Source organism: Homo sapiens, chromosome 5 (genome assembly GCF_000001405.40).
Source record: "Homo sapiens chromosome 5, GRCh38.p14 Primary Assembly".
Lineage (NCBI taxonomy): Eukaryota > Metazoa > Chordata > Mammalia > Primates > Hominidae > Homo > Homo sapiens.
In genome coordinates this window covers 169,420,262-169,431,006 of record NC_000005.10, presented here as the reverse complement: position 1 = coordinate 169,431,006, position 10,745 = coordinate 169,420,262, and the positions used below count along the sequence as shown (strand labels likewise).

General features: G+C 40.8%; 1 long non-coding RNA gene across 1 annotated transcript; it reads left to right on the top strand.

Annotated features, from left to right (window-relative positions):
* Positions 1 to 4,104: 4,104 nt before the first annotated feature.
* On the top strand, positions 4,105 to 10,262 carry LOC124901131 (uncharacterized). The gene is made up of 2 exons (XR_007059043.1): positions 4,105 to 4,245; positions 9,963 to 10,262. It is a non-coding gene; the product is annotated as an uncharacterized LOC124901131 (long non-coding RNA).
* Positions 10,263 to 10,745: the final 483 nt, after the last annotated feature.

Sequence of the window (10,745 nt, the reverse complement as noted above, 5' to 3'; positions counted from 1 at the left end):
TACATCAGTAAAGGGTTAGAGATAGGTATTTCTCTAACCTATCTCTAAAGGAACAATTAATAAAATTGTATGGCTAGAGAAGGTTCAGATTTATTTATAGAAGTGAAAGCTATTTAAAACCAGCCTCTGCAAAGTCCACTCTTGGCATGGAATCAAATTCAAAGAACAGTTGGAAATGTTGAAACTAATTTGAATCTTTACTACAACTTTTTACTTTTTATTTATTTTATTTTATTTTAATTTTTATTATTTATTTACAGACAGAGTCTCATGCTGTGGCCCCGGCTGGGGTACAGTGGCAAGATCATAGCTTGCTACAGCAATGAACTCCTGGGCTCAAATGATCCTCCAACCTCAGCCTCCCAAGTAGCTGGGACTACAGGCACAAGGAAGTATGCCTGGCCAATTAAAAAACAAAATTCTTTTGGAGACAGAGTCTCGCTATGTTGCCCAGACTGGTCTTGAACTCCTGGGCTCAGGCTATCCTCCTGCCTCAGCCTCCCAAAGCACTGGGATTATAGGTATTAGCCACCATGCCCACCCATATAACTTCTTAAAAAAATGCAAGAGCTGGACTACTTTTGCCCCTTACCACTGATCTTTCTCTCCCCTTAGGTTCTTATCCTTCTGGTGAATTACCCTTCCTCTTTCAGCGTGTCTCTGCTTCACTGATTACCTCAATCTTACTATTAAGTCTCAGGAAGCAAAGGCAAGGGACAGGGTTGAGTGGCAACCAGAATTTTCTTTGGTGGATAAAGGAGGAAATTATACTATGCATATTGTAAAGATGTGTTTTGTCTGACACATCTAATAATAATAGTCATACCCATACCTAACAATTACATCAATGGGTACCTATTTTATTCTTTCTTCTCTATCAACACTGCAATATTAAATTATGTTCGTTTCTTGATTTCTTTCTAGTATTCTCCCTAGACTTAGGGCTTTGTACTTGCTGTTTCCTCTGCATATACTATTTACTTCTTCTGTCTTTCACCCACTCAATCCCTGTTAATCCTGAAAGATTCAGTTTAGAAGTGACTTCACCCAAACTTCACTTGAACTGGATTTACTTGCCTTTCCTCTCGGAAGCCATAATACTGGTAGTTTCTCCTGTCTGAGCACTCACTACATTATCTTATAATTGCCTGTTTTACCCATCTTGTCCCCATTGGACTGTGAAAAATTTAAATATAAGCCCTAGATTTTATGTCTCATTTCATATATATATATATATATATATATATATATATATATATATATCTCCATATTTTCTATTTATGATATTTATATATAACAATATAGATATATTTTATGTAATATATATTTCTTGCTTGTGTATACACATACTATTTGTTTAGTACTCCTTTTATATTCTTGGGTAAATGAATCCATTTACTGGCACCATCTATATGACAGGCACTATATTAAGCAGGCAGCAAATTTATCTGTTTTCATGCTCTGACCAACCATACAAAGGAGTTACCCTTAATTCTCAAGAGGGAAATTCAGGACAGAAAGAGGTGCAATGATTGCCCAAGGTCACATAACCAAGTAATGACAGCACCAAAACCTGAACCCAGGGCTAGGTGATTGGCCCATGTATGTGCTGAAGCTTAAGAAAGCCATTACAGAGGCCATCTCTGGTTGGGTGAGGGGAGAAGATGTGTGTCTCGGAGGGAAAGGTGGAGGCTGGGGCTGTGAGCCAGGCCCTTTGTTGGCCACAGGGAGAGAAGCTTGTGCCAGCTGCTACTGCTGATTCAGTGACATGGTGAGAAATGGAAGGCAGAGAGCAGAGGCCAAGCACACATTCATCGTCTGTGATTAAGAGACTCTTGTTTATCTGTTCCTTTGCTTCTCTTATTCTGAGACATTTGAATACAAACAGCATTTCTCTTCAATAATTATTTCCTGCTCTCCTTCATGAAGGCTTTGTTCTGGGCAGAGTAGTCATGAAGCAGGCAGGCAAAGCCTGTCATAAGCTCACTGAGGGCCTGGATAACCATAGAGGACCATAAATAAAGATGTGTAGCAGGCCTCCTAGGTGACAAGCACATATTCTCTTTTGAAACTTATAACAATCTTATAAAGTTGTATGAGTCTTCTATTGCTGCTGTAACAAATTACCACTAACTCAGTGGCTTAAAACAACACAAATTTATCTTTAGGTCAGGAGTCCAACACAGGTCTCACTGGGCTAAAATCAAGGTTATCAGCAGGGATGCACTGGAGACTCTAGGGGAGAACTAATTTCCTTCTCTTTTACAGCTTCTAGAGACAGACTGAATTCCTAGTCTTGTGGCCCCTTGATCTTCAAAGCCAGCCACAGTGGGTCAAGTCCTCCTCATGCTGCTGTCTCTCTGCAATTGCTTTCATGGCCACATTCTAGGACTACAGCTGGGAAATGTTCTCAGCTCTTAAGGTTCATATAACTAGATTGGCCCTCCTGGATGTGACGCAAGATAATATCTTCACCTCAAAGTGCTAACACAGCTGCAACATCCCTTTTGCCATGTGAGATAACATATTCACAAGTTCTGGGGATTAGGGTGTAGACATATTTAGGGAGCAATTATTCTTCTTTCCACAAGTCTTTTTTTTTTTTTGAGATGGAATTTCGCTCTTGTTGCCCAGGGTTCAGTGCAATGGCATGATCTCAGTTCACTGCAACCTCCACCTCCCAGGTTCAAGTGATTCTCCTGCCTCAGCCTCCCAAGTAGCTAAGATTACAGGCATGTGCCACCATGCCCAGCTAATTTTTTGTATTTTTAGTAGAGATGGGGTTTCACCATTTTGGTTAGGCTGCTCTGGAACTCCTGACCTCAGGTGATTCACCCACCTTGGCCTCCCAAAATGCTGGAATTACAAGCTTGAGCCACTGCGCCTGGCCTGCTTTCCACAAATCTATGCCAAATAGCCCCATGCTACAGATGAGGAAACCATGACCCAGAGAGGCAAAGTGACTTTCCCGCAGTCACAGAAGTACTAACTGATTGACCTAAGATTCAGATCCAGGTCTGCATGACTCAGGGGTGCCTGCTCTTTCTGGGACAGCAAGCTGCCCCCCTCACATTTCTGTGCCAGCTGTAGGTGGCAGCTGGTAGAATGTAATGAATGGCTAGCTTTTCAGCTTGGAGCAGGGAAGCATCCTCCATTAATGAGAAAACACAGACTCCACAATCATCAAAAGGATATTGCTCCATTTCATCTCAGTTGTCTTTTTATCATTTCCCAGAACAGGTTACACCAGATGTGAGCACTATCACATGTTAGCTGTTGGACCATGGCACATAAGAGACACTCAGTAAATATTAGCTAAACAGACAATTGAATGAATGAATGAATGAATCCCATTGGTTGAGCAAATATTACATATCAGATATTTACAGGGACTTAAAATTCTTTGTTTTTTAAGTTCTTACACCACCACTATGGTATAATTATTACTATCTGTAGTTCTCTAGGTCTTGGTATACTAAGCTGTAATCCAAGGTAGTCTCTTAGTTTCCTTTCCACGTTAAGAATCTGTGATCTCATTAATGGCCTGCTGTGGGCCATTCAGGGCCCTTTTCTCCTGGCATCTCTGATCAGGAGTCAAGATTGTTAAGAGTCTTGGCTTCTGCTAAACTAGACTTTAGGTTATTTTCCTCAATCTTGCAGGTAGGTCAGCCTTCTGTGAGAGATGAAATAATATTTATTCCTGGACCAGCATTCTCAGTGGCTCAGAGGTCATTGGAAGGACAGACAGCATTGCCCCAGAGCACATTACCCAGAGTGGTTATGACGGAGGCGATTCACACAAGCAGAGCTGTGTACTATATGCACTCCTACCTGGTGCCAGCCCACACACATGCTTGCTTTGCACTTACTCCAACAATCCATTGAGCATCTGCTATAGTTTGGATGTTTGACATCTCCGAACCTCATGTTGAAATCTGATCCCCAGGGTGGCGATGTTGGGAGGTGGGGCCTAGTGGGAGGTGTTTGGTTAATGGGGGCGGATCCCTCATGAATAACTTGGTGCCATTCTCATGGGAGTGAGTTCTCACCCTATTAGCTCCCATGACAGCTGTTTGTTAAAAAGATCCTGGCACCTCCCCCACCCTCTTGCTTCTTCTTTCGCCATGTGATCTCTGCGGTCTCTGCACATAATGGTTCCCCTTCTCCTTCTGCTATGAGTGGAAGCAGCCAGAAGCTTTCATCAGAAGCAGACGCTGGTGCCATACCTGCAGAACTGTCAGCCAAGTAAGTCTCTTGTCTTTATAAATTAACTAGCCTTGGGTATTCCTTTATAGCAACACAAATGGACTTAGCATCCATTTTGCACCAGGTGCCAGGACTATAGAGATTATTCTACCCTTATGGTGTTTCTAGTCCAACCAGGTAGACGTATATGTAAGTCAGCAAGTGCAACATAGCATGCTAAATGCAACGTAAGAGGGAAGGGCAAGAGCTGCAGGAGTATAGACAAAGGGACACATAAACGAGTCTGGAAAGATAGGGTAAGGCAGGCTGAGTATGGAAGTATGAGAAGGATTTAACCAAGGCAAGAAAATAGAGGTAGGAAGAAAGGGTGTTTGAATTATGACTGTACCATACCTGTGTGTGCACATTCATAGTAAGAAACAGGGCAATATATATCAAGGTCCTTCAAAATGAGTATAACTCTTGATCCAGTAATTCCACTTCTAGGAATTTATCCTGAGGAAGTTATCAGATGTGCACATAAAGATTTATGTACATAGATGCTCAATGCTGTACGATTTGCAATAATAAAAAATTAGAAACAGCCTAAATGTTTACAGTGAATTGGATAAATGAATCCATATGATGAAATATAATATAGCACTTAGAAGCCATCTTTAATGAGGGAAAAGTGCTCAAGCTGTATTAAGTGGGAAAAACTAGTTTAAAATATGACTCCAATATGGTTAAAATTGGATATAAAGTGGGACAAAATGAATATTATAAGTTATGCATGGCAGAAAAGACTGGAATGAAATACATCAAAATGATCAGTGGATAGTAGAAGTATTGATTTACAAAACTTTTATTTGCATTCTTCCAAATTTTTAATAGCAGCATTCATTATGTTCATAATGTTAATGTACATTGAACCCCTTAAAGCTGCAGAGCATTGTTTAGGCCACTCATGCTTTCCCTGGCACCTTGCCAGTGCTCTATCCTCCACTGGTACCTGTGTCCTTATCACTACCTGGGCCTGTGCACTTGTCGGCAGCTGATCCCAGGGGCACCATTTGAAGATGGCCTTTCAATTTCAGTATCCGCAGCTTTTCTTTTTTTTTAATGTATCCTTTTCTACCTTCTTCTTCATTGCTTTTCCCCAGAAGGATCCTGTTCTGCCTAAGTACAGTTCCTGATCAGATCCTACTTTTAAGGAATAGAATAAGTACATTTACCTACAACACCCTATAAGATAGATATTACTATCTTCCATTTTACTGATGGAGAAACTGAGGGCCAAGGAAGTTAGGTGAACATTCCTGACTTCCCCTAATTCATAAGTGCTGGAACCTGGATTTGAATGCAGACAATCTGCATACACAGTACAGATTCCCAGAGATGCTGATACCGAACCAGGAACAGAACCTTTCCCAGGAAGGCATATATTTTAGTAGAAAGCCAAGTTCTCAACTGGCTTGAGCCAATGCAGTGGGCCTGGGGAAGTTAATGTCTAGGATATGTTAGGCCTCCCATTCCAATGAGATTCCCAGGGGCTTCTATGGACTTGTTGATATGTGGATCTTTATGATCTTATTTCTTTAAAGTTCACTTCTTGGCAAAAAGCCCTGGGAACAATGAAGAATTGGGCTCCTTCATGGAGCTGAGAGGGTGTGCCTGTAGAAAGGGTACAGAGAATTGTGTTCCATGATTTTGCAATTTCATGAGCCTCTCTGTTATTGTTTTTCTTTGTATCAAGGAGGGAAAGACTCAAATCTGTAAATGGTTATATGCAGAAAAAGGCTAGCTTGCAAAAAGGCCTGGCCAGAGCTTTTGTTATGTTGAGAACTCTGGATGGATAGGTTGCCATGTGAGCAATTCAGAAGGGGTCTCTCAGTGGGACAAGCTGGGTCAGCGTGGGCTGCAGAGGTGGGGGCCTAGGCCTGATGGTGAGGTGCACTGCCCGACATGCAGAAGCTGAAGTTGCAAGGAGCTCCAGCTTATTGACATTTACTAGCTTGGCCAAGTCCAACGGTGACCTTTTGCATTTGCACCAGCGTGTTCCATCCAGCTCAGACTGCCTGGTAGTTTTATCCTTCCAAGGGAATTCTTTGGCTTGCCTGAAAAGGAAATCAATTGTTGGAGGGGCAGGCTTCTGGACAGATTTATTTTAAGCTTTATTGTAATAGACTACGGTAGATAATAGTTGCAATAATATTGATAATACTCAGTTTTCTTTCACATATATCACCCAGGGGTAAAAAGAAGCATTCTAAAAACTACCTTGAGGTTCTTGGTCTGTTGCCTTTGTCACAGGGAGGTATTGCTTTGCCAGTCATCTTGGTTTCCTCTTTACATTTGAGTCAATAAGACAAGAGGAGTATAACTCTGAAGGCTCCTCCATCCTCCTCCTTGTTTCTGTCACAAGGCCTGAGTCACCCACTGCAGAAACAAGAAGCAAAGGCCACACAAATCCATACTATATGTTTCCAAAAGGTGAGATGGAAGGAAGTTTCTAGCGGATACCTTTAGATCAGTTTTCCTACCTTAAGACTAAAGGCGGTTGGGTTGAGGAAAAACGAGGGAGACCCCACAGTTAGAGAATGATGAACTAGGAGCTTCCAGCACAGCAGAAACTACTCATTACCAGAGTTAAATAGCAGCCAAGGTAGCACACATTTATCTTTGTCACTGTCACCCAGTGAGAATGACCAATCATCAGCCAGATAGTCCCCATAATCAAGTAATACTTGTGCTTAAGATGTTGCCTGGCCTCCATTCAAGCACCCCATGCAGACAACCCTTGTTTAATGGGCTTCCAGGATTCTCATGTATCCTGAAGAGAAGGGTGGACACTGCACTCTTAGAGGCCAGCTTCTGGCATGAGAGGGAAGCCTCTGCATTCTCACTAAGGTGGGACTAGATGGAGCCAAACCTGGAATTCTGACTGAGCTTGGTCAGAGGTGAAACTCCCTGTCAGAGTTGTGAGTGTTTTTTTGGCATCTGCTCTCCCTGTCTCAACAGCACGAGGTGTCTGAAAAGAATCCCAAACAGTGTGCAGGAACTTCAGGTTCAGTGCTGATTCACCAGTGACCAGTCTGTACCTTGGGGAAGTCCTCCCAGAGCTTTCCTTGGGTATCAGCTGTTTCAAGTAAAAATAACAGGCTAAGTGAGTTCCATAAGGTTTGGGGCTAGATCACCTGCTATCTCACTGCCTACCTTATGGCCTTGGGCAAGCTGACCCTCACCTCTTTGAACTTCAGTTCCTTATCTATGCATGGAGGATTTAAATATATACCTCAGATAATAAAATCGGACATGCGTGAGACAGTCATTTCCAACCCTGGCTTCATATTGGAATCATCTGGGAAGCTTTAAAATACACCAATGAAAATTATCAAGAATTCCATCACTGCGGGCCAACCACTGTTGATAATTTGATGCATTTTCTTCAAGTTATTTTTCCACCATGCTTATGCTCAGCAATTAACTTAATCAACAGCTATTTATCACTATTGATTGCATATCCACTATGTACCAACCACTGTTCTGGGTGCCACACTAGGTTACTACAGTGAGCATGACAAATGTGATGATAATTTTGCATTCTGCCTTTCCCACTCAACGTTTTACTTTGAGTGTATTATCCTACCTTGTTGAATATTCTTGCAAATCCAGGGTTGTTAGTGACTAGATTATAGTCTACTTCATGCTTATACCATGATATAACTGCTGCTGAACATTTATATTATTTCTCATAACTATTCAGATCTTTTAAAATTTTAAAACATTTTATTGCAGAAATATTGAAACATTATTTCTGCTCCTCCACTGGCTGACTACTTCTACCTTCTGCCAAACTAGGGGTAAAACTCAGCCACTTCTCCCAAAACACGCATCCCCCATATCCACACAGGCCCTCTCTGCTGCCCTCGGATTTTTACCAGAGCTTCAGCTTTGGAGTGAGGCCTCTTTCTGCACCTTCTGTCCACATCCCTGCTTAATTTTTCTCCATAGCACTTGTGTCATCCTATATATTTAAATTTTATTTATAATTTGTAAGCAGAGTTGTTTCCTACTTGGATCTCTTTACTATTGTATCCCCAGTGCCTGGACCAGGGATTTGCTGCATGAATAAGTAACACTTATCACAGCCCATTCCCAGTGGAGATGGGAAGGAGGGAACTACAGAGCCTAATTTCAGAACAAAGTTAAGGTGCAAAATCTCTTCTACTCTTGACTGTCCTGTCACCAGATTTGTCCTGGGACATGGAACTACAAGAAGCCATTCTCTAATGCCTTGCTCCAGGGAGCTGGGAGCTGGATTTCCTGTATCAGTATTGGTGCCGCTCTTTCTTCAGAAAGTTTGACCCTGAAGTTATCCACAGTGATTGGTCCAGTTCAATATCTATGAATATAAGCAACTCCCAAGAATTAAATGGTTCTGAGCAGACACAAAGGCATGGGCTCACAATGTCAGCTATTTGCAGGAGATGTTGACTCTCAGCCGTGTGGAGGCCTTTGTGTTTTTAGCTCATGGGTCCATGGGAAAAGTGTCAGCTGCCTGTAGCCCAGGTGAAAAGATGACTGGTATTCCCTATACCTGAGTCAGACAGCTTTGGGGGACCCTTTGTTATTTGTGTTCAGAATGGCAGACAGATCAATGAAATTCATTTTCAATCCCTAAGCCTTGTTAAACTGTAGCTACGGTCCAGCCTAGGGCTGAGGCATTGAGTGAAATAGCCTAAAGACAGGAAAAGGGCAGGGAAGGAAACCAGCAGTTATGACATATCTGCCAGAGCCGGCATCTGATTTATTTATTTGTTTATAATTTTTTTCTAAAATAGAACTCAAGATAAATAATACACACACAGGGTTAAAAAAATCAAATAATGTAAAGGACTTAAAATTGAAAGTCATCCTTCCACAGACAGCTATGAGTCATTTCTTCAGTCTCTTAGTTTTCCCCACCCAAAGGCACCACTTTTAGCAGTATTTGTGCATTCTCTTCAAAAATGTGTGTATGCATACACGTTTAAATACATGGCAGTATACTATACCCACTTTTCTGCACCATGTTTTTTCACTTAATATATCTTAGCAAATGTTCCATAGCAGATCAAATAGATCTTAATTTTTAAATGCTTCATCATATCTATTATTTGACTGAACTATAATTTTTTACCAACTCCCTCCTGTAGATTTTAGATGTTTACAATTTTTGCTATTAAAAAATTGCTGTGATAAACATCCATATATTTCTATGTTAAATAATCTTCTTAAATTGATTATTTAAAAATTTACTCATCTGCATAAAGAACTAAAGAAATATAGAAAAGCACAAAGAAAACAATAACATTAATGTAGAGATAGCCATCATTAATATTTTAGTATGTTTCCTTTGTTTTCTTGGTAGTTTACTTTTATATTAATATTAATAAAACAGTGCAATTCTTTATTCTTTACTTCACTTAAACGTATTGTGAGAATTTTCCTGTATCATTAAACAGTCTTCAAAAGCAACACTTTAGAACACGAGAAAATTATCTATCCTATGGCTAGACTGATTTATTTAAGAATAAATATTTTAGGACCTACTGTTGGATGTTCTGATAGTTTCTGTTTTTATTTTTTGTTTGTATATGCAGTGCTTCAATATACATGTTTGTACATAAATAATTTTCTGAGTTTCTACTTCCTGAGGGTTTGACATAAGAAGCATATAAACTTCCCGTTAGTTCCTTAATATGAACTACTAACTTGCTTTCTCCTCCTTTTAGGCATAATGTAAAATTACACTGCTCTACTGCCTTGAAGTTAGAAGAGCCTGTGTGACTTGCTTTGGTCACTAAAATTCCACTGATTGAAATTGACATATGTCACTTTCAGATGGAAGCTTACGTGGCCAGGTGAAAATTAGTTTTTGCCCTCCTGCCAGGACAACCAGGGACATTCTGGATGGTGGAAGCTCTATGTGCCTGGGTCTCTAGGGGAGGAGACTTGGGGCAAAGAAAACTCCCCGTCATCCCTCACTGGACACTTTGCATAAATGAGAAATAAACCTTTGCTTTTAAAAAGGACTGAAATTTGATTATCGTTTTTGATGGGGTTCCTCAAGAGCATTAAGTCTAAATGCCCCCAGACATCCATTGTAGGTAATGAATTATTTTCTCTCCTATATATCTAAATAGTGCTAATTATGTACCAGCCACGAGAGAATTGAGAGAATTGTCACTCTATCAGAGAAATCACACCCACCCTTGTTGCTATAGAAATTGTTTATTGTAACCAGACGTAAGGCAATCATCACGTGGTATTTCCTTAAAGGAATTGATTCAAGGATGCATCTGAAAAAGAGTGTGATTTTCTGAGCTATCATAAGCTAAATTTTTTCTTCCCTCTAGATACTGTCATGTCTGAATGGTAGTCCTGAGATTGCGGCAGCCCTCACATGATGAGCCAGAGGAGGAAGCCTCATGTGAAAGAAAGCAGGACCCACAGCCATAGTTGCACAGATCTATTCAAGCCACGCTGATCACTGCGCTAACCTCTGGATTTGTTTG